This window comes from Homo sapiens, chromosome 12 (genome assembly GCF_000001405.40).
Source record: "Homo sapiens chromosome 12, GRCh38.p14 Primary Assembly".
Taxonomy (NCBI): domain Eukaryota; kingdom Metazoa; phylum Chordata; class Mammalia; order Primates; family Hominidae; genus Homo; species Homo sapiens.
Window position 1 is genome coordinate 78,146,920 of NC_000012.12, and position 24,855 is coordinate 78,171,774.

A 24,855-nucleotide genomic window follows, 5' to 3' on the forward strand; every position below is an offset into this window, starting at 1 on the left:
AAACTGCATTCAGGAAAGAATACTATTTTAATTTCCCTTGGTAAAACATTTGTCCTGGTCAAAGAGAGCAGGAGGACTTTAATTATGACTTTATTCAAGGTGAGGTAATGGCTGTTTGATTGGTTTACACTGAGGCAATCAGACAACAGAGAAAAAAAATGCCTTAACAACAGCTTTTGCAAAAGTATTCCTTTCCTTTGAAGTCTTATTTTATTAGCCTTTAAAAATAAAATTTGTGCTATGTTTAAAAATATTTGAAAATTATTGATTAAACCAATTTGTCTTTATAATCTCTGAACCAAAGAGTGGATATGATTTTTAAAAATCAAAGTGGTTTTATTTACATCACATGGACATGACAAAGCTTCTAACACTGATCATAGTATAGCTACTGAAGCATCGAAATGCTACATCTATTTGCCTTAGTAGTAGTTATTCAACTCCCCTTTTATCATTGATGCTGTATCATGAGTTATGGTTTAAAAAAACAATTTCAATCACTTTACAGTTTCCTGGATTATATTTTAAAGATACTGGAATCATGTAATAGAGACTATTTAATTTGAGAAATGCTCTTTGAGTTTGGATTCATTTATGAATAAAATAGACGCTGTATTTTCTGAAATCATTCATAGTCATTATCTTATAAATGTAAAGCAAATGTTATTTTAGACTGGGGTGTATCTGTTCCGGAAAAAAAAAAAAAACAGGAACGAAGTAGAATCACATTTGGTGAAATTATATAAGTGTCTACTGTTTCCAGCTTAGAGTTCTCTACTTTGTTAGAGTGTTTGAGTTGACCACCATTTATTTTCAACAAAATCTAATGCCCGGGGCAAAAACTAGACAGTTAATAAACTATGTCAAGAATTCTCTTTCAAACTGAGACAGCATTCCAAAAGTTCAACTACAACTATAGATAAGATTTGTTTTTGAAGAAATGAGAAGCATCAAAAGTAGAATGTTTAACATCCAAGTAACTGAAATCCCTTGAGACTAGATATATACTTATAGAACCTAGTGTCAGATTGTTATAAATGTTCTATCCTTATTAGTCACAACATGAGACTTGCAGAACAAACTGCAGAAAGTGCTTGAATTAAAACTTTAAACATGATATAATATATCCTTACCCTTTTCTGTTTCAGTTTTATTGGAGTGTGAACTTAACTAAAAAGAAAGATACCTTAGAATATACATTATATTGGTTTATCTAATTAGTTGCACCTATCATTGGTTTTTTCCCCTGATTTTTAAGATGTGGATAAGCTATAAAGCATCTCTGAGCTAATAATAACTCACTAAATAAAGGTCTTGATAATACAGATTTGGGAAGGCTTCTCTGCAGTCATTGAAACTCCAGCCAATAACAATTTAAATGTGAACTGATTAAATGTTGAATTAAGCCCAAGTTTTAGTGATTGCAGGATATTCCATAGCCTTTGAGAAGTTTTCAAACTATGAGAAATTAAAATGTACAGAGGAAAAAAAAACCTAAGATTTTCTGAAAAAGAACATGGAGTATCTTTTACTAAAAAAGAACAAGAAAAATATGTGTGTATATACAGTTTTTATAAAGAAAATATTTTTCTACAGTTTTATTACCACAGTTTTTCTAGAAGGAGAAGAATCAATACAGAGGGTAAACTGCTCTTGAGTCATTTGCCATTTGAGGGATGGCAAATGGAGCAAGTGAGCGTACTTTGATTTGTAGATTAGAGTTTGACACATAACACTTTGCTTTTGAATGACATTTGCTTGTTACTGTGGAGTCAGTGTTCATATCCTTTATTTTCAGGAGTTGCTGCTGATACAATGGGGTTAGAATGAGCTAAATACAGCATTTGCTTTCTTGGTTTGAATTCTGGGTTTTAAGTAAAAATCTACTTGCCTATTCCATTGATTTTTTTAATTGCATTCAGCAAATCCATAAACTGCGGAGAGAGCTGGTTGCATCACAAGAAAAAGTTGCTACCCTCACATCTCAGCTTTCAGCAAATGTAAGTCACTTCATTTTTAAAATATATTACAACAAATTTTTATAGAGGAAAATGAAATCATTTTAGTAACAAACTTACAAATTTTCAGTGCCTGATACAGACTTAGATTACCAACTAGCAGGACTCATAAAAAGTTAACATTTTTTGCCTACTCAGTAATAAAATGTAAATCCAAACTGATGAGAGGCAGCAATATGGTTAAAATGGCTTGTTGTTTCTAATAAGATTGGAAACAATAGTAACAGCCATATGGGTTACTTCTTTTCTTGTTTGCTATTTTTATTACTCCTCTTGCATAAGATTCTCTGACAATGTAAGAGGGGTTGTTAGTGTTTGACTTTGGAAGATAAAATATTCCTGTGCCCAGCCTCCTTCATCTCAATGTATTGAACAATTTGTTAAGCATCCAGTTAATTCTAAAATATGAAATTAGGTCTAAATAGGGATAGCTTAGCTGCACTGTGGATGAGATATGGTTTGCTCAAAAAACCTTGGCAGCCTTCTCATAGCAATTTAAAAGGGTACACTTTTACTGGCACCAGAGCAGCCCAGGATGGCAGAAATGATGACAATGAAGACCGTCAATTAAATTAACATTTACTGAATATCTTCCACTGTGTCAGGGAGCACTCAGAGTAGATGCAGAATGATAAAGGAGAAATGTGGCACTGTTCCCAGTCCTGAGGAGCAATGGTGTTAAGAACAGCAGTGAGGGGTAAGGAAATGCCTGCTATTTTGCCATATGTCTTACCTCTCTCACTCAACAGTCCTTTGCTCAGTTCTGCTGCATAGCTTTGGGCCTGCTCTGTGCCTCCCCACCCCTCCCGCTGCTCCTCTACTGAGTTTTTCTATCTCCTAGACAAAGCATGATATGTCAAGAGTGAGCAGGTGCAGACCCACAGTGTAAGACTTGAATAAGAGCCATTTTTAAATTTTTTTTAAGCTATCATTGTGCAATATAAATTCTGAGTATGTGTATCATTTCATTCACGATGTATTCATTTTAGCACTGTATTTGAATTGATTTTATTTTCTGAAATTTGGGAGAATTAATTTTGGATTTATTCTATTTATTTTTAATAGATGGTGTTAGGAGATTCCTGAAAATAATAGCAGTTTTTAGATAATTGTTTAAGCAATATGAGAAAATAAGGGTATTATTTAACCTTGTTGTGTTTTTAAAGAGATAGTCCAGAGGCAACCGTAAATTTTATAATATAGGCTACATGTATAGAAGTATGAAATATTGTTGTCTAGGTTCCTGAATTTGTACCCAGAGGAAGTAGAATAATGTAAATGTCAGAACCTCCTGGGTTGTGTTTATCTGCAATAAGAAAGGCTCAATGGCAAACCTTATTTATTAGATTGTCAGGATACTTGCAGATGTCTTGAATGATTACTCAGGGTTTCATTTTATTTTTAATGTCCCTTGGTTGAGCTCATCATATAATTCAGATATTGGAATAATAAATGGCTGCTAGACATAGTGGAAGATGGGCTGATACTTTCCATTTGAAATGTAATGATGCTTATTGTCTTCAAAAGAAAAAACTAAAATGGTATTTCACATTTTTTTGTTTTTGTTTTTGTTTTTTTTTCTCTGAGAATCTCATTCTTACTCATGATTATTGGTTTCTTGTGTACCATTTCAACATTTTTCTATTATATGCTAATGTGTATATATACTTAATACACACGTGCAAAAGCTTCCTCACACACACACACACACACACACACACACACACACACACATACACACACATACGGAACCAAATTCTAACATAGGGGAATAATCTTCGGAGTGAACTCTGTGCTGCTGTTTGAAAATGGAGATATAATTTTAGAAAGGTTCCTGCAGTTGGCTACCCACCTCGTCTGCTCTAATTATGCTTGTCACACTATTTTCACTGATGTGTTTTCATGACTTTAGGGCATGAATTCTCAGCTGGGTGTTAATATGACCAACAAAGGGTGAAAACAGGTTCTTGCATTTTTTTAAGTACTCTTTTTATGTGAAAAGCACAGATATGCAGATAATACATAACTGAACATCCAGCATATCTGTGGCTTTAAAATATCACGAAGAAGAGCACAATTAGGGAAAAGAAAACATCTATAGTGTTTCCCTAGGGGAACAATCATTTAAAAAAAAATAAAAATAAGGAACACAGACTAGAAGCAGCAGTGCCAAATAGATAATTCATGCTAGTCTTTGTGTTAATTTAAAAAGTGCTAGTCTTGGAGACAAACGCCCAAATTGCTCTAGGTTCCACTCAGCTGTATGTGTTATCATTAGTATTAACTTTTGCACGCTGATGGGAGACTGATATATATCCTGTTTTATGTTCCTTTAAACAATTTATAATGTAATTTAGAAACCTTCTCAAATCACATTAGATCCACACAAAAACCTGTACATAGCAGCTTTATTTTTTAATAGCCAAAGAAAGGAAACAACCAAAAATATCCCTTAATAGGCCAGTTAATAAACAAATTCTGATACATCTATATCATGGACTACTACTCAGCAATATAAAGAAATGACTATTGATACGTGCATCAACTTGGGTGGATCCCAGGGGTATTATGCTGAGTGAAAAAAGACAGTTATAGAAGGTCAAATTTTGTATAATTCCATTTATATAACATTCCAGAAATGGCAAAATTAAAGAAACAGAGAACAGATTAGTGATTGCTAAGGGCTAAGGATGAAGGAGAGAGAGAGGTAGTGTGACTATAGGAAGAGGGAGATCTTTAGTTTTGTATTTTGAATGAGATGGCCATCACATGAATCCACATATGTCAATCTATTAATGTAAATCAATATTGTATTCCTGGCTTTGATATATAATATAATTTTATAAGATATATAATCATTGGGGGAAACTGGATGAAGGATACAAGGGACCTCCCTGTACTATCTTTGCAACTTCTTGTGTATATAATTATAAAATATATAATGTATTAAAATGTATAAAATAATATTTTAAGTATCAGATACTGATCTTTACTCAGTATATGAAGTGTTCTATCATAACGTAACATGCTTTTCCTTTATTTGTGGTATTTTAGTTTCAAACTAAAATATAAATCACCTAAAGATCTACGACAGTTCTTTTGAAAAAAAATCTTGCTTTTAATTTCCCAGGAGTTTCAACCTTAATCCTCTCTTTAGTGTTTCTTTATTTGGTAGTGATAGGGACTATCAAAGCTTCTTACCATCAAATACATTTACTGACTAAAAATAGAAAAATAATTTACATTGTAAAAATGTACAAATTGAATGACAGTCAAAAGGTACAGGTAATGAAGATATGCATTAACATCTACTTTTAAAAAAAAGTTTATTAAAATTCTCTTTTAGACTAATGCAGTATCTGGGAATTTATATAAATAGATATGTATATAAATGACTATTAAACAATTTTAATGTCAGTTATATTTTAAACATTTTAATAATATTGTTATAACTATGGGGGTAAAATTTTGTATATATCTGAACATTTTTGTTCTTAAGGAAATAATCATTTTTACATATCCAGGAATTTGAATTACTCTCAAGTCACCTATTAATTACAAGTCATTTTGAACTCATTCATTTTCTTTGTGTTTGCTTTATAATGTCATTTTAGATTTCATGCATCATAATCAGCCATCAAATAATTTAGTTAATACTTGATTTTTCCTCAGTTGTAAGAAGTGCTGTGTTTAAATTTCATTCAGAATGTTTCATTTCATCTGAATTAATATCTGTTAATGTATGTAATATACACATATTTTTAACATGCATGTACTTAAATTGATTATAGGGACTTGGTAAAATTACTTATTTATAGGATATTTTAAATATAATCAAGGATTTTTTAAATCTACAGTTCCCATTTGAAAGTAAAAGTAAGTCTTTGTTTACTAGTTTGTTCACAGTACAAGTAAACTTTCTACCTTTTGGTTAAATGTGAGTGCAGCCCCCACAGTGAGAAATTGTTATATTAGAACTCTAATAGCTATAATTTATAGGGATGAATTTCAATGAGTTTGGTTCTAAGAAATAATCTGTTGGTTTTAACAACATTTTTAAGTATCAGATATTCATCTTTACTCAGTATGTGACATGTACTCTCATAGCTTACGTGCTTTTCCTTTATTTGGGGTGTTTTTTATATATTAATTGGTATATCGCATATTTAAACTTGGCATAATTACATTTATATGGACTCTAAACAATAACTTGTATTTTAATTTTTAAATTTGAAATGCATCTATGTCTCTGTTAAAATGCATTTCTTTCCCTTTGCCCAAATGGGGTATGGTAAGTCAAGAGAGTCTCTAGTTAGCTCACCTCTCATTTGACTGGCAGAGTAAAGCCCTTGTTCAGTAGAATGTGTGTTAAGCCTTCCCTCCCTTTTGTAAAGTTGTTCTGAACAGAGCTGCATAAAACCACAGGTAAAGTGTTAAGCTGATTCTACTAGCATGTCCTTAGAAAGGAGAGCGGTTATATTGGCAGGTCCTATTGCCTGGCGTTTCTGATCAATAACTCACCAACAAACAGAAAACAGAAGCCGCACAAGGAAAGGCAGAACTAAATAAATGGTAATAGCAAACAATAAGCCAGATAGCCTCTGGCCTCTCGCCCACACCTTAAGGCAGCTGGGTCAGGTGGGATGCTTTTGTTTGTCTTTTAACGTATTTTCTTTACAAATCTCAGCCATTACATAATTTGGAAATGGACACAAGGCTAGTTATTACTAACATTTTTAAAGACATTACTGAATGAATGTGTAAGAAAACAAAAGGTCCTTTTTGCCTTTCAGCAGATAAGTCTTTTAACCAAAAATCTCTTGGGTATTTTGAGATTGTGTTCTACTTCTTTGCTTATTTAATATTTTCATAAAATTTGCTAGTTACTCTTGCTTTTTTGCATCTCTTCTAAGAGAAAACAATTGGTGCATATTATTAATGAGAAACACTTCAGTGTTTGGACAATTTTTTGTAGTGGAAAAGAAATGTGAAACTTTATGTTGCAGAATCATTCTTGGTTCAACTAACTACTAATTTTAAAACATAAAGTCTTAAATATATATAAAGTTTATATGGGTAAATATATATTACATATAATATATGTTTTATATTTATACATAATATACTATATATTTATACATGATATACTAAATATTTTCCCATATAAATAATAAAATGCTCTAGGCATATATGTGTGTGTGTGTATATATGTATATATATATATACCTTCATAACATACATATATAAAATACTATATTATATATACTCTAGGTATACATATATGCCTATATATGCACCTATATATTTATATATTACTATATAATATATAGTATATATTACTATATATACTACTATATATTACTATATAATATATAGTATATATATAGTATATATTATATAGTAATATATTACTATATAATATATAAATATATGTGTGTATATATATATATGCCTAGAGTGTTTTTAATTTGTCAGTGGGCTGTCTCTGTAATCTATATGAAGAAATAAAATGTAGACGTTATGTATAATGATATTTCATCTTGTTGTGTGGCATCATAGTAATTCTCTTTACATATCTATTCAGATTACTTTTGCACCAGCCTAATACATTGTATGATTCCAAAACCAAAGAGAGTATGGATTGAAATGATATTCCCTTTACTAATACTCAGTCTTGTCTATTTTATTACCTTTATAGACTTCACCTAACACAAGTCAGGGGATATTTATCATCATATTAATACAATTTTACTCTGACCTTAAAATTATGCAACTGCTAAAGGAAAAATCAGAACCAAATAAACTGTCATTAACAACCCCCCTGAAAATCCATATTTTTTAAAAGTCATTTTATCAAGTCTCTCAGACAAGATGTGATACCCTATAAGTTTAATCAGTTTTACTTTCCATTTTCTCTTCATTAAGGTGATAAAGATTATCATTAGTAGAAAAATTTTCCCTTATTTGCCTCCTTTTCCATTTACCCTATTGAGTGAGAAATTTAGCCTCTCATAACTTCTAAAGTAGCAATGTTAATCTGATAAACTAAACCAAGGTGAGATAAATTTAAGACAATATTTTTTTTCTTCAACTTTTAAGTTCTGGCGTACATGGGCAGGATATGCAGGTTTGTTACATGGGTCAACATATGCCATAGTGATTTGCTGCACAGATCAACTCATCGCCTAGATATTAAGCCCACCATCCATTAGCTATTCTTCCTGATTCTCTCCCTCCCCTAACTCCCACTGACAGGCCCTAGTGTGTGTTGTTCCCCACCATGTGCCCACGTGTTCTCATCGTTCTACTCCCACTTATAAGTGAGAAGAAGTGGTGTTTGGTTTTCTCTTCCTGTGTTAGTTTGCTGAGGATAATGGCTTCCAGCTCCATCCATGTCCCTCCAAAGGACATGACCTCATTCCTTTTTATAGCTGCATAGTATTCCATGGTGTATATGTACCACATTTTCTTTATCCAGTTTATCATTGGCATTTGGGTTGATTTCATGTCTTTGCTATTGTGACTAGTGCTGCAGTGAACATAATGCATGCAGGTATCTTTATAATAGAATTATTTATATTCCTTTGGGTATATACCCAGTAATGGGATTACTGGGTCAATTTCTGCTTCCAGATCTTTGAGGAATCATCACACTGTCTTCCACATTGGTTGAACTAATTTACTCTCCCACCAACAGTGTAAAAGCATTCCTTTTTCTCTGAAACCTCTGCAGCACCTGTTATTTCTTGACTTTAATAATCACCATTCTGACTGCTGTGAGATGGTATCTCATTGTGGTTTTGATGTTACCCTTTTTTTTATATGTTTGTTGGCTGCATGACTGTCTTCTTGTAAGTGTCTATTCATATCCTGTCTATTCATGTCTTTGCCCACTTTTTAATGGGGAAGTTTGTTTTTTACTTGCGCATTTGTTGAAGTTCCTTGTAGACTCTAGATATTAGACCTTTGTCAAATGGATAGATTCCACAAATGTTCTCCCATTCTGCAGATTGTCTGTTCACTCTGATGATAGTTTCTTTTGCTATGCTGAAGGTCTTTAATTAGATCCTATTTGTCAACTTTTGCTTTTGTTGCAATTGCTTTTGGAGTTTTTGTCATAAAATCTTTGCCCTTACCTATGTCTTGAATAATATTGCCCAGATTTTGTTCTAGGGTTTTTATAGTTTTTGGATTTTACTTGTAAGTCTTTAATCCATCTTGGGTTAATTTTTGTATAAGGTATAAGGAAGTGGTCCAGTTTTAATTTTCTGTATATGGCTAGTCAGTTCTACCAGCACCATTTATTAATTGTTTTTTCAGTTTCCCCATTGCTTGTTTTTGTCAGGTTTGTCGAAGATCAGATGGTTGTAGGTGTTTTTCACTAACATAATCATAACATACATTTCATTGAAAACAACACGACTCAAAATGTTCTTTAGTAACCAGTTATAAGTTTTTTTGTGCATAATTACAAACTGCCATTCTAATCATAAACATTTTGTGGTTACTTATAGCTAGAAAATGTGAGTAATATAGTTTATACAGCATACTCTTTACAATCCCGATTTCTTTGTCAAACTTTAATTCATATTAAATTGATAAAGTATACACAAAGGGTAAAGGAGAGTAATTTTCTTCAAGTTTCACATTTAAGGATTCATAGTAGAATGATTAAACCTTACATTTCTCCACTATAAGGAGAATTAAAATGGAAATATTGAGTAAAATCTTACATTTCATTTAGTAAGTGCTAATAAAGGGTTTCTGCCATAATTTTCCTTATTTTAAAAGAAAACACACAATTTTAGTTTTAGGTTTTAGTAACCAATTTTATGGGCATAGTGGGAATATTTCTAACAGGTTAAACTGAAGTGACCATCATGGGCATATATATATATTTTAAATTCACATATATGAATACTATACAGTAAAAACTAACTTATGCTACATACCACATGGATGAATCTCAAAACCCATGTAAAGCAAAAGAAAACCACAAAAGAATCATGCCATTTGATTACACTTGGGTGGTTTTTAAAACAGGCATATCTAAACATAGTGCTTTAAAGTGTAAGCTTGGGTAGGAAAAACTATAAAGAAAAGCAAGAAAATAATTACCACAGAAGTTATGTAGAGGTTATCTTTGGGGAAGGAAGAGGGAATAATAAGAGAGGGACAAAGAAGAGCTTCTTGGTTCTTGAAATGTCCTATTTCTTGACTTGGCTGGTGAATGCATGAATGTTCACTATGTGATAAGTCAGGGGGCTGTTTTCATTTTGTTCACTTTTATATATGTGTGGATTTTTCCACAGTTGAAAAGGTAAAGTTCAGGTGTGGTGGCTCACACCTATAATCCCAGCCAACACTTTGCGGGGCCAAGGTGGGAAGAATTACTTGAGGCTAGGAGTTGGAGAGTAACCCAGGCAACAGGGTGAGGCACTGTCTCTACAGAAAATGAAAAAAAAAAAAAAAAAGTAGCTGGGCATGTTGGTACATGCCTATAGTTCTTGCTACTTGGGAGGCTGAGGCAAGAGGATCACTTTAGCCCAGGAGTTTAAGCCTGCAGTGAACTAGGGTTGTGGCACTGCACTCCAGCCTGGGTGGCAGCAAGACACTGAGTAAAAGAATAAAATAAATAATTAAAAGTTAAAATATAGGAAAAAATGAGCATAGCCTTATGCTAATTTTTCAGTTACTAGGTCTGATATCATCACATTCCTTGCTTGTCATTGAAAATTTTTTAAACTATGATACTTTTTTTTAGTGGTATTTATCCAATTAAATCTGCTAACAAATTTGGTGTATAAATCTCAAGGGTAAGGGTATGTGGAGAGTGGGTGTGTTTGTGTGAGAGAGAGAGAGAGAAGAGGGGGAGGAGAAAAAGAAGGAAGAGGGAAGGAATGGAAAAAGATAATAAAGAGTTGTTCTGATAGATTAATCTTTAGTAGATGTATTCCCTACAAATTGTTTTTCTCCATATTGCAGTGTCAGGTAAAGAAAGGCATCCCAGGATGAATTCAGAGCTAGGAACATGCACCTTTGTATCATAATGCTAATGGAAGGAACATGTACATTCTAACTGTTACCAATAATGGAATATATTTCCGTTATTAAGTAATAAGCTTTAATTCTTTGTATTTTTGTGATCCATTTGATAGTAGGTGCCTCAGCATTTCCACTCTGCTATAAGTACATGGAGATATATTTTATTTAAGTCATCTTATTCATGTCTTTCAAAAAGAAATTCATTTTTGGCCAAGGATTTCCAAATTTTGCCCCATATATAGGTATAGTTTATTATAGACTTCGTTTGCAAAATATTAAATCCTTATATCCTTTTAGGGACACAATAAAATTTTATAAGTTTGAGATAATGTACTTGCAGTTCTACCTCAGGCCGTGGTGAGAGATTGAAGTGCCTCTTCATTTTAACATTTTGGGTTCAAGTTGTTGCATAAGGGCATGCAAATGGAAACTGGCCTATTTTTGAGCTTTAATAAAATCGTCAAATACTTCTTAATCTTAAGAGTTATAGTTATGTACTACAATATGTATAATTCTCTAATATTTAAAACAAAACCTGAAAGCCACAAAAGCTTACTGTGAAATAAAATGTGATGGAATATTATTTCTAACTGGCTTACCTGTATTTCCTTCATTGAAGGGAATATGAAGTAGAAAAGCCCTTTTATTGAAAAGAGTTTGGAAAGTAAAGATAACTCTTTTCAATTCAATTCTTTGTAAGTAGAAAAAGAGTAAAGATAATGTTCTAGCTGTCAGCAGATGTCTGACACTTGATGGAGCGTATCATTACAATAGAGCAGCTAACAATATCTGCAAAGGTCATCATGAAAGTATAAAAATGAGGAATATTTGTCCATTGACCATTTCAGTGACCTCTTTTTGGGCTTTAAGTCTAAAAATCTTGGCAGATCAGAACTTTATATTCGGCATTTTGAGTGTCAAATCTCTACATGATGTGCAAGTCAGAAGGAGTTATTACTTGCAAAATACCATCTTCTTTCAGAAGTTAAACTCACATTAAATGCCAGGAGACTGAAACACTGATTTTAAGAAGACAAAGTTTAGAAAAGATGAATGAAAATGTGTGTTAAAGAAGAGTCACCAGTCAGAGCTAACTATGATAGTCATAGTATTTAAAGAGTTGGAACACATGAAATTAAGCATTTTGTAAAATGAAGGCTTTTCATCCATCCACATAAGATTCTGACATTTAAACTATGTTTCTTCCATTCTGTTCACAGGCTCACCTTGTAGCAGCTTTTGAAAAGAGCTTAGGGAATATGACTGGCCGATTGCAAAGTCTAACTATGACAGCGGAACAAAAGGTATGTTCAGAAATTGCCACTGGAGACTGAAAGAAGACAGCAAATTGCATAGGATTCTTAAATAATACCTGAAGCTCCTTAAAAATAATATTCCAGGCTGAGTGCAGAGGCTCATGCCTGTAATCTCACCACTTTGGGAGACCAAGGTGGGTGGATCACTTAAGGTCAGGAGTTCGAGACCAGCCTGGCCAACGTGGTAAAATCCCATCTCTACTAAAAACACACACAAAAAATTAGCTGGGCATGGTGGCGGGTACCTGTAATCCCAGCTACGCAGGAGGCTGAGGCAGGAGAATCACTTGAACCCAGGAGGCAGAGGACGCAGTGAGCCAAGATCACACCACTGCACTCCAGCCTGGGAGACAGAACAAAAAAAAGAATAATAATAATAAAATAATATTCAATTCTATACTAAATTAAAACAATGATAATACCTTTCTTTTCAGATTTTAATTTAAAGATTTTATCAGTTTACTCCATATTGGAACACACAAAGGCAAACAAAATCCTTGCTGGGCAGTCTATTAATTTACTTCTGGATGGAACTAGTAAAAGAATACTGAATGTTAAGAAAGAGAAACAGTCACATAAGAGAATATTCTGGGGGCAAACTGTTATGCAGTTGACAAGAATCACACTTTGATAAGAACTTTCACAAATACATGGTCACTAAATCCAGCTATAGGGCATGGCTGTAGGCTAAGACACACAGGAAGGATGCCTGGGACTCTGCCAAGTAAGGGACTTCAGGTTACAGCAGCTATGAAACAAAGGCCAATCCTGTGTAATTTTGAAATAACAAGAACTAGTTGCCATCTAGGGATATCACCTTTGAAGAAAAGTCATTTGTTATATCAAAATACTTAAAATGAACCTAAAGGATTTTATGGTATGAAAGAAGGTATACCAAAAAGAAAGGAACGGAGAATTTAGTTCACGAAGACAAATGTATTAAAAAGGTCCATACTGCATAGAAAGCCTGGTCACCTTTCCTGTGATGACCAGTTAGCTTACTTCTCTGCTGTTAGTCCAGTGGCCTTAACTTCCTTGGATAGGTATCAGAGATAGGTGAAACCTATAGAATTCTATGGAGTGTGTGTGTGTGTGTGTGTGCGTGCGTGTGTGTGTGTGTGTGTGTATGAAAACTGTAAATGTGCATAAATGATCAGGTGTCCAGAGCTTTCATCTAATTCTCAAAGAGACCCATTATATCAAAAGTTTTGGGTATTTTCAAGAATGCGTTCCTCTATCTATCCATAGGAATGGCTTCAGTTTTGTCTTTAGATTCTGTAAGTTATGTGATTAGCTTTACAAAAGTAGTATGTATTACCAAATTTTGTCACTTTACAAAAGTTTATTTTTAAAACAGAATGAATAGTTCAATGAAATCAAAAGAGTAAATCGAATATTCTTATAATTGCCAAGTATTATTAGCACATTGTATTCTCTCTCATATTCTCCGTATACCCTGCCCGTGAGAGAGAATATTATCCATTCCTGGAAAATCTGTTCTAGCACAGCTAACAAACTCCTTTTGAAACATAAATTTTCCTTTCTTTCCTCCCTCCCTCCCTCCTTCCCTCCCTTCCTTCCTTTTTCCTTTTCTTTCCTTCCTTCCTGCCTCTTTTCTATCCTTCCTTTCTCCTCCCTTACACCCTTTCTTCCTTCTTTTCCCCCTCTGTCTCCCTCTCTTTCTTTTTTGCTGCAGCTTGTCACTTCACTATGTAATATAAGAACCCAGCAAATAGAATTAGAAGGCTTTTTAGAGCAGCTGACGGGAAAGAATAAAAACACTGGGCCCCAGTATTCTTGAATGAGAATTCTGGCTATGTCTGTTAAAAGCTGGGTAATCTTGAGCAAGTTTATCTAACCTTTCTTGAACCTCAAATTCACCTTCTTAAAAGTGGGGATGATAATGACTACCTTGTAGGATCACCATGAGGAGTAAATCAGATACTGTTATCATGTCACATGCTAGGGGCTACCAAAAAATATTACCTTCCTTTACATTTCTCTTTTTCCCTTGAAAATTATAAGATAACACCAAATTCCTCACTGGGCATATACCAAGCATATTGTTGGAAATGAGTGTTAGAATTTAAGTCTCAATATCTTTAATAAGTCAAAATTAATAGAATTTTTGTCCTCCACCCAATATTTTCTTGAACTCTGTTATATCTGTAAGTGAATTTTCTCATAGAAACATACAGAGAATTTTCTCATATACATATAGAAAAAAATGTAGAGGTATGTTAATGTATAATGCCTATGATTAATGCCTGAATATTTAAAAATAATTTCTATAACATAAGAGATTTTATAATGTGTCTACATTATCCTTAAAATAACATTGCCAAAATTATAAAATTTTCTCAGAAGATATCAGAATGTCTCATATTGTCCTTATCACTTTTTTAACTGAAAATAAAATCACTTCTTTTTGAATTGCAAACTGTATACACACAACAATCATGGTTAACTAGTTTATTAATTTGAGATTATAACTTGCCTATTCTCAAAGTGATATTTAAAAGCCTATAAAATTATTTGCAATGTGAAATGGTATAATTCAAAGACAGAATCTAATTAAAACCAGTAGAATAATGTATATAACAATATACCTCAGCCTAGATAATTACTACTGCAAGGCACTGAAATGAATTGAATTTCAAGGAAGCTATAGTACAAAGGGAGATTGTTAGGTGTGTTTTATTCTCATTTTCTGACCAGGAGAGCATAATTTAGACTGAGGAGAAAACTCTTTGGCACTAAATTCAAGGACGAATTTATTGCCAAGGTTTTTAAATTGGGGTCATGGAATAACAAAAGACAAAATCACTGTTCAAATAGACATTTCTCTAAAAGCTAAGGGCATAACATTTAATCATATTTCACTAAAGGCATTTCTTCAGGGAGCTGAGATAAAAGGGTATATTGCTCTCTGGTGATTCAACAATCCTGAGAAAAGGCTTGTGAAGTATAGAGCAGAGATTCTTAAACTCCCTTCCCCAAGTTATAAGTTTCATTTGTCTATTTAGTCATTCATCAAGTTTATATTGAATTTGTGCTCTTCTAATGACAAAACAGTACAGACAATATAGATATAGAATGATAGATATAGGTCTATATCTATAGACATACCTATCTACTAGAACTCTAAAAGCATATTATACATGTATGTAATATTCCTCATGGAGTTTATATTTCTCATATATATCTCATATATATGTATCTCTTTATCATGGAGTTTATATTTTAGGAGGTCACAGATGATAATAAAAATATAATTAAAACAGGCCAGGTGTGGTGACTCACACGTGTAATCCTAGCACTTTGAAAGGCCAAGGCAGGTGGACTCCCTGAGATCAGGAGTTCAAGACCAGCCTGGCCAACATAGTGAAACCCCATCTCTACTAGAAACAAAAATTAGCCAGGCCTGGTGGTGGGCACCTGTAGTCCCAGCTATTCAGGAGGTTGAGGCAGGAGAATCACTTGAACCTGGGAGGTGGAGGTTGCAGTAAGCCGAGGTCATGCCACTGCACTCCAGCCTGGGCAACAGAGCAAGACTCTGTCTCAAAAAAAAATATATATATATAATATATATAATATATATATAAATATATATATTATATAATATATATATAAATTACATATTTATAAATATGTAATTTATATATATAATATATAATTAAAACATATAGGATTTCAGGTGATGATAAGCACTACTGAAAAAAGTAAAGCTGAGAATGAGGATACTGAGAAGCTGGTTTGGAAGCTAAAACACAAAGTAACAAAGGCCAAGGTGGTTACATGTTCTTGATTACATACTTTAAAAATGGATAAACTAAATTAAGACTCAGATTCTAGTCTTTGGGCTTCACAGTGTGATTTTCAGCAATCACATGGCATTAATAGCCTGAAACTACATCAAAATTGTCATTTGATTTATAGACCAAAATAACTCCCTTGAATAGAGAGGGATTCACTCCTAACACTTTTCCTATTTCCAGATGCCAAATAACACGGAATCTCTTGCCAAATTTGTGTGGCAGAACACTGGTTTTATATACTTATAGCCTGGTAAGAAAGAAAAGACATGTATGAATAACTTAGAAGGCAGAAAATTATCATGCTATTAGACTCAGTACAATGTCATGTGCATTCTCAAAGGAAACATCTGCAGAGGCAGGAGAATTGCTTGAACCCTGGAGGTGAAGGTTGCACTGAGCTGAGATCATGCCACTGCACTCCAGCCTGGGTGACAGAGAGAGACTGCATCTCAAAAAAATAAAAATTACAAAAATAAAAAATAAAAAATAGTGATCAATCTGGCAGCATTTTCTGAAAGTTAAGCAGTATTCCCAATAGCTGCTAAAAGAAGACATGTTATATAATACTAAGTCTGTAAGTAGGTAAAAATTAAGAGAATTGTTAATGTGCTTGCTGGGGAGTGAAATTATCTCTAGGCATTACCCTATACCTAACCTAGGACTCAGTAGACTATGATATTGGCGTAGTTTGACCAAGAATTTTATCCTGATTTCAGATCGTTTTCTCTTCACCAGCACTTCTTCACCAGGATTATATGAAAAAAATTAAACCTGATGCCCTGAGGCATCCATTATATGTGCTGAAATAACTTCTTTTCTCACCATCTAGAATGGTACTAGCTATGTACCACTCTTGTCAGAATCAAGGAAATTGCTACTCAAATCATTGTGCAGCTTAATTTTCTCACAGAAGGCCAGTTGAGAAAGGCTCAACTTCTAGGAATCCAGCAAACTATATTTTTTATAAGTAACATTTTTACAGAACTACTTCTAAATCCTTGTGTTCAAATTTACTAAAGCTATATTCACAGCTAAATATTTCAGAATTTAAAATTTAAAAGACTTTCAAATTAGTTCCCTGTAGCTGTCATGCCAAGGCAATTAGAACATATGTTAAGGTATGAGGGGTTTTTCTTGTTAGAAGGTCAGAGCAGGGCAGAGAAGTAGCCCCTTGTATGAGTGATGAAGCTCAGATATTGACTCCTATGCTAACCATAAAGCCTAGTAGTTTGCTCATTTGTTACCTCTCTGAAACATTTTTTTGGGTGACTACAAAACAGGAATTGAAACCTTCAAAATAAGGGAATTTGAAACCAAATCTTTGAAAATAGATAATGCTGCAACTAAAAATTTAGTTGAATAGGATTTTTACATTAACTCTCCCTAATTTACGTTATGATATTTGCCATCTAGAAGTGTTTTTAAAAAATATATTGCTGGAGTCAGATGATGCATCCATTAATCTTTGGGGCATAGAATAATGTGAATCTAAAATTTTCAAATTATTTACACTACTGGTATTTGGTCAATGTAATTTATTTGAAACTAGATGCAATAGGGATGGCCAGGTTATTTCAGTAGAACAACTAGCAAGACTTCAGATGCATGGTGGAGTGGGGAAAGGAGGACCTGTTTAAGGAAACTAGAGCTGGGAAGTGTGAGATTAACTTAGTGCCAATGTGAGGACCTAAAAAGCAGATGTGGTGGAAAATTTAAACAGGCTTGCCTAGAAGGTCAAGTTAGTTGATGACACTTGATGAGATTGTCCCAAGCTTTGGGATTCTCAACAAAGTCTTTGTTAGTGAGAAATTTGGAAAGAGATCAGGTATAGTTAAGAAACTGGGTTGGAAAGGCCACCAGGAAAGGCGAATATTCTGACACAAAATTTGATCATTTTATTTGGAAGCATTTCAAGCCTGACCTGAACGAATTGTTTAGCCTCAGATACATGCATAAAACTGTGAAAAGAGACATTGACTCAATTTAGCTTCTTTAACATGAGAAACTTTCGTGGAAAACTAGAACTTTACAAGCTCAGCTGGTGTTGGGGGCATCATTATCTTGAATAGCTCACTGGAGGAAAATGAAATCTTAGTTTGGTTCTCAGGTTTTAAAATATCTATCATTTTTGAAAAGTGTGAAGTAACAAAATATGATCTGATTATCTTATTCCTAAAATCCTTTGCAGAATTATCCCAGCCTCAATCTTCTCTTTAGTATTTAATGAGAATAAGAAACTGGAAATGACTGAATTGGAAGAGTAGACTTTAAATCCATATCTTGATGGCATATACATTTTTCAGTTTTTTTTCTAAATGATTAATGAGGATTCTCAAAACTTGAGTATCTTCTATGTTTCCCTTCAACATAAAGAAATTGTATGAAAATATTTTAAAAATTTCTAATGATTTTATAGTTAGCTATCTTGGGAATTCATTTCTAATCATGTACCTCATCCAAACTCCCCACTATGGACAAAAATAAAATAAAAATTATTAGTTGCATCTGAAGGCCACATTACAATTTCTATGCATTATAGAAACCTGAGAAAATGTATCTTAAAAAATAAATGTGAACAACTAACCATAATTATGAAGAAGAAAAATGAAAACTAGAAATAAACTATTGAAAAATGTCTATGTATCAGTTAAGTTTTTATTTTAAAATTCTTTATGTTTATCTCTATAATACTATTGGGAAAGAGAGAAAGGAAAACCTGACTTTGTTCTCATCCAAAGGAGGTGATTCCACTGATTTAGCCAAAATAAGACTTCCTGGTTATAATAAATAATAAAGTTTTTGATGTTTTTTATATGGTACCCCACTCACTAGGTGATCAGACACCCTCCTGCAAAAAAAAAAAATACGTATGCAATAAAGTTAAAGTTTTATGTTATTCTTTCAAGGGGAGAAACATCTGTTTAACACAGACCAGAATATTTCAACAAAGTCATCCCAATATTTATGGAGATCATAAATCAAGCGAAAAAATATATTCATCAACAACTAAACAAACTACATTAAATAGTCTCAAAGCACATTTTCACTTTTTTTCTGACAGGAAAACAGGTTTCACAAGTGTGGAGACATTTTACCATGGCTTTTAACAGTGAGGAAGGATGTTTAAATAAAGGGAAAAATTATATGGAAAGCTCAGAGAAAAGAGATGGGTGTGGCTTGAGTGACAAGGTGAGAGCAGATCTCATTAACTGAAATGAGAGAGAAGGAAGGAATTTTGCAAATATGGAAAGATAACTAGTGCAAGTTTGAACAGATTATGTCAATCAATGTAGAATTTGGCTATCTTTTTAATCAAAGACTATGGAATATTTTATAGGTGTTTGCTTATACTCAAAGTTTTAAAGAAATAACAGTATGAATTTGGTTGAACTAATTTTTTTCATAGATAGGATTCTCCCAAGTTATATAGCATATATATTTCTTAACTAGTTATTCTTCCTTTTACATATATTGTGCCACATTGAGTAACAACTAACCTGCTAATAGCTATTGGTTTTTAAAAGATAATTAATATTAGAAAGTGATCATTTTTCTGTTTCATATTAAACATGATATTCTGAAAAAGCAACATTGCCTGAATGTTCTACATTTTATCTTTTTGAAAACAGGTTTTATAAGAGATTTCTTGTGAAAAGCTGAACGTTCTGACACTGAAATAAGTCAGCTAACTCAAAGCTAAGCTTAATTTTTTGACACTGTTGGCATGAGGTCTCATTCCCAATTTTTTCATTTAAAGCCACAGGCAAATGTTTTAACAGATTTTAATCCGTAGTACAAGCATTATTGATCTTAAATTTAAGGATAAAAACCTGATTTTAATTAGAATTTAATATGCATTCTAGTATTTACGTTGTATAATTAATATTTACATTCCATGATTCCACTATGTACCATTTATTTCTTTTTGAATAAATTTCCAGTAGGAGCAGAATAAATTTTCAGTGAATATTTTATTTCTTGGGGGATATTTTTAAATGGAAAATATATTAAGTTTCGGTAAAATCTGTTGCTAATTTGGCAGTGGACAGAATATAAAAATTGGAGAGACTGAGTCATTATGATGAATTGGGTCTGACTTTTGTCATGACACTGGAAATTTCCCACAAATATTATATTCTTCTTTTATAATAAATATAGTCGAAATGAATTGCAGTCAAGTATTTGAAGACCCATCTATAAATTTAGGCGGTTACTGTTGATTTTTCATTATGAGAGATTCTTCCACTCATAAGCTACTAAAAGTACATAAAGAAGGTCTGGTTGTTTGTTTTAAATGTGACTGTTCTCTATCAGGAAAATGTCAGGTATCCGATGAAAATAGATATATGAGGTGCCAGGTATCTATTCCAAACTTGGATATCACTTCAATTAGCATCATCTTTTTTTTTTTTTAAAGTGTCTAAGGTTAGAATAGTCACCAGATATTCCCATGTATGAAGCAATTTTCTGCAAAGGCCGCTGTGGATGATCTTTTTAAAATATATATTCTGGGAGACATTGAGTAAAGAGAAATTATTTACCAGAGAATGAAGAACCGAGGCCCGATTCTTTGGCTTTCTGCCAAAGATGCTGAAGGCAGTGATGAATGACAAATACATTACCAAGGAATTCTCCCTCTAAGAGGCTGACAAAGATCTGATTTTTAGGATTATATTACCACCAAGAAGATACCCCTTGTCACTGAGCTTCTAATGGAAATATGGTCTATACTGAAACAATTCTCAGTTCTTTTTCTTTCTATCTTTTTTTGAGTTATTTTATCTTCCAAAAATGAGTTATTTCTGATAAAATAATTCACTTAAATAATTATGAAAGTTCAAATTTGTGCAAATATTTTTATTGGGACATCTTAAAATTACTCTAAATTCAAAAAGAAAATATATGCTTTATTAAAATTTGATCTGTAAGCTGCTTTGTTTGTAATTTAACTATTATATAAAAATTGTATAATACATATATTTTATTTACTTTATTCCTGTGTTGCTTTGGCTTGGTGAGACTAGGTCTCCACATTAGGAGTTTTACTGAATGAAAAAGTATCAGAATGTAACATGACTTTGATATGGCATCAGAATTTAATAAGATGACATTTAATAGGAATTAGGGGTAAGTTCCAGGTTTTACACTTAAATACAAATAATCAATTTTGCAGGCACAAAATACTTCAAACAAAATCTGAAATCATTCATTTGACAAAACTTCAGGTTTGCAGTTGACAATAAATACAATACAATGCAACAGTGCAATAGTGATATCTAAATATCTAATGTAATCATAGGTAATATTAGTAAGTGTGTTATCTGAAATGAGTGGTGTGATATCCTGCTTTACTTTGTACTGGTGAGTTCTGGGTGCCACCTTTGAAAGGAATAAAGACTATTCATATCTCTTTTATAAGACAATAAGAAAAACAAACAAACAAACAAACAAAAAACCACCTCCTTTACTTTAGCTGAGAAAGAAGTTATTAGGTACAGCTTGACAAGTTCAGCTAAGCATCCAAATCTTCCAGGAGGTTGTTACTACATAAAATCAAACCTTTTTAATTCAACTATGAGCAGGGAGATTTTATTTTTCTTTCGGGTACTAAAGCTTCCAAACTCTGTTTATTCCACAGGAATCTGAACTTATAGAACTAAGAGAAACCATTGAAATGCTGAAGGCTCAGAATTCTGCTGCCCAGGCGGCTATTCAGGGAGCACTGAATGGTCCAGACCATCCTCCCAAAGGTATATTTAGAAATCATTTCATTTCCACCCAATATAATAGACATCTATTTTATTTATTAATTACAGTAGAACTGCATTTACTCAGTGTCACTGTGCATTATTAATACATACTAGTTGTATTAATAGTTGTATTAATACATACTAGTAGTATTAATACATACTACGTTGGTATTAATGTGATCAGAATCCTAGAATTTTAGAACAGTGACTTCCATTATCAGATAATTTTTAAACTGATCTTAAGAAATTTGGTTCTATAGTTGTATACACATCTCTCTACTTGATTCAGTGGAGATGGAGATGGAGTGGTTGGTTAATACATGCATATCTGACTTCAGGCAAAACAAACCCATTAATGAGTATGATAATCTAGATCTGTATTTAAAAATGAAATAGTCAATATGATGATATAGTAAGCAGTGGGCATTGGGAACAACTTTTCCTGGATGGAGGCTATAAAAAGGTACATTTCCTGTAGATAATTTTGAAACAATAAAAACAACGGGTGAAAGGTAGCTCTGTTTTAAATTATTCCTATGCTTAAGCAATTCTAAACAATGAAAGGGGTATTTCTGCCACTGCCCCTACCCCTGGGTTCACCACTGAAGAAATGCTCATTATTAATATCGTGTCATTTTTTTCCTTTACATTGGTTCTATTTACTCATTTCCTGACACTTTTCAATGGCCTTCAGTGAGCTCAGCTCTTTCCCAGCTTAAAAAATCCTGTCCTAAAACATGAATGCCTTATTATCTCTCTTTTCATTTCCAGAAGAATTCTGAGAAAAATTTTATGAAGTCTTTCAATGTCTTCAGCCATCTTTAGACCACTGGAGTGTAGCTCCTTTTCCCTCCACTCCACCAAAACAATGCTCTCCAGGATCAGCAGAAACTTACATGACACTAAATTCAGTAAAACGTTTATAATTCTTATTGTATTAGACAGACATGGAAACAGCATTTGATGCTGATATTCATTTCTTCCTATGTGAAACATCCGGTTTTTCTAATGTTCGTGACATCATACATTCTTGGTTTTTCTTCTGTTCCTTTGAAATATTTTTTCAATATTTCTTTTGTAAATTCACTCTTTTGTATCCATTTGTTAATTGTTGATATCCTAAGCTCTCTTCCATTATGATTCTATGCATCCTATTTAAAATATATAGAAAATCATCTCATACTCTAGCTGTAATTTTTATTAATGTGCTAATAGCTAATAACTGTCAAATCTAGGTCTCCAGGCCAGGCTCTGTATATCCAGCTACCAAGAGAGAACTCCACGTGGATATCTTTGGATGTCTGTTTTGCATCTTAAACCTAACTTCTCCAAATTTGCACTTGTCTTCTGTCTCAGACCTGCTGCTCCTTCAGTGCTCTTTGCCTCAGTAGATAGCACCACCATCCTTCCATTTAGCCAGAAATCTAAGTATTCTTCATAACTCCTCCTCTCCTCATTGAATAAATTACCAAGATCCGTTGATCCCATTCCTTAAATATCTCTTGGATCTGTTAACTTTTCTCTGATTTTACTCTTGCCATCCATCACCTCTCTCCTGAACCATGACCACAAACCCCTAAATAGCCTTCCTCTTCTTAATCTTATCCTGCTTTACACCAGTCTTCACGCTGAAGCCAGAATAGTCATTAAGAAACACATCTACAGGTATCCCATTCATTGCCTTTAGAATGGAATACAGACTCCTCAGCATGACATAATCTCTCTTCACCAGCTTCATTTATTCAACAAATATTTATTCATAACCAATTAAGTGCCAGATGATGCACATATAGACTTCTTGTTCTGTTGTTGCATTGCATATTCCATATTTCAGCTATCCTGAATTGTTTTCAATTATTCATAAGTTCTTTATGAATTGTGTTCATTCCATTTGGAATATTCTACCTTGTTTGATCAGCATAAAGACTTTTCGAGACACTGCAGCAGCAGTGAACCTAAATATGTTTCCTTGACCCCTACATTGAATGACACCCCCTGTGATATGTTTCTGGAAGCAGCAATACTTCCCTTCTTAAAATTACATTATACTTTGGGGCTTTTATTTAAGGTATGTCTTTCCTGATTTACAATAGTAGAGCTTGTTTTTTCACCCTTTTGAAAGACATCAAGATGCCCATGATGATGTCTTGCATGTAACAGGGGTTTATTTGAATTTTTAAAAGAAGAATAAAGTAATTTTTAAATGAATTTCAATTTAAATTTTAGGAAAACAATTATATAAAGTGAGATATGCTTAAATTGAAGGACAAAGTAGTTCTGTAGGGGCTACTTCTTTCAAGACTTTAGCAACTTTCCATGTGGGGGAGTGATTTATGTGATGCATGGAAAATTACTGCATATTTAAAGCTTATCTTAGAGCTATAATAAAGCAGCTTATGTTCTAAATCTTCATGTCGTAAATAGGTCCAGAAGGGATTTAAAAAGCCTTAATCCTTACTTTAACACAGCACAAGTCACTGAAGTGAAACTTGCTGAAAGGATTCCTTTTATGTTAGGCAACAGGTAGCTGAATATATCTACAGAAATTGAAAAATTGGAATTCTTTTGCTCAGAAATGTGGGAGGGGTGGAGCTTAAGGTAAAAAATAACAGTTAATATCTAAATTGATCAAGAAATATGAAAAAATAATTTGCTAGGTTTTAAAACTAACAAAAACCATGGTTATAAAGGTTTGAATATATATAGGATAGTTAGATTGTATTTCTGTAATATTAAAACTCAGCATTAAATTTAATGAACACAAAGTGATTCTTATCACATTGACCATTGACATTACATGGAAAAAATAGTCAGTTGGACTAATTATGTGTCTTTCCATGGGTTATTAAGGTAATTGTATGGCATATAAATTTATACTGGAAATCACATTGAAATTCACTTTTAGAGG

General features: G+C 33.0%; 1 protein-coding gene across 31 annotated transcripts in view; it reads left to right on the forward strand.

Annotated features, from left to right (window-relative positions):
• The window catches only part of NAV3 (neuron navigator 3), a 641,149-nt gene that overhangs the window by 575,058 nt on the left and 41,236 nt on the right, over nt 1-24,855 (forward strand). For all 31 annotated transcript variants that reach the window (XM_017020166.3, XM_047429817.1, XM_047429823.1 and 28 more), the window contains 3 exons: nt 1,923-2,000; nt 12,284-12,367; nt 21,836-21,947. In XM_017020166.3, coding sequence (XP_016875655.1) covers nt 1,923-2,000; nt 12,284-12,367; nt 21,836-21,947 — 274 coding nt within the window. The remainder of the gene's footprint in view (nt 1-1,922; nt 2,001-12,283; nt 12,368-21,835; nt 21,948-24,855) is intronic.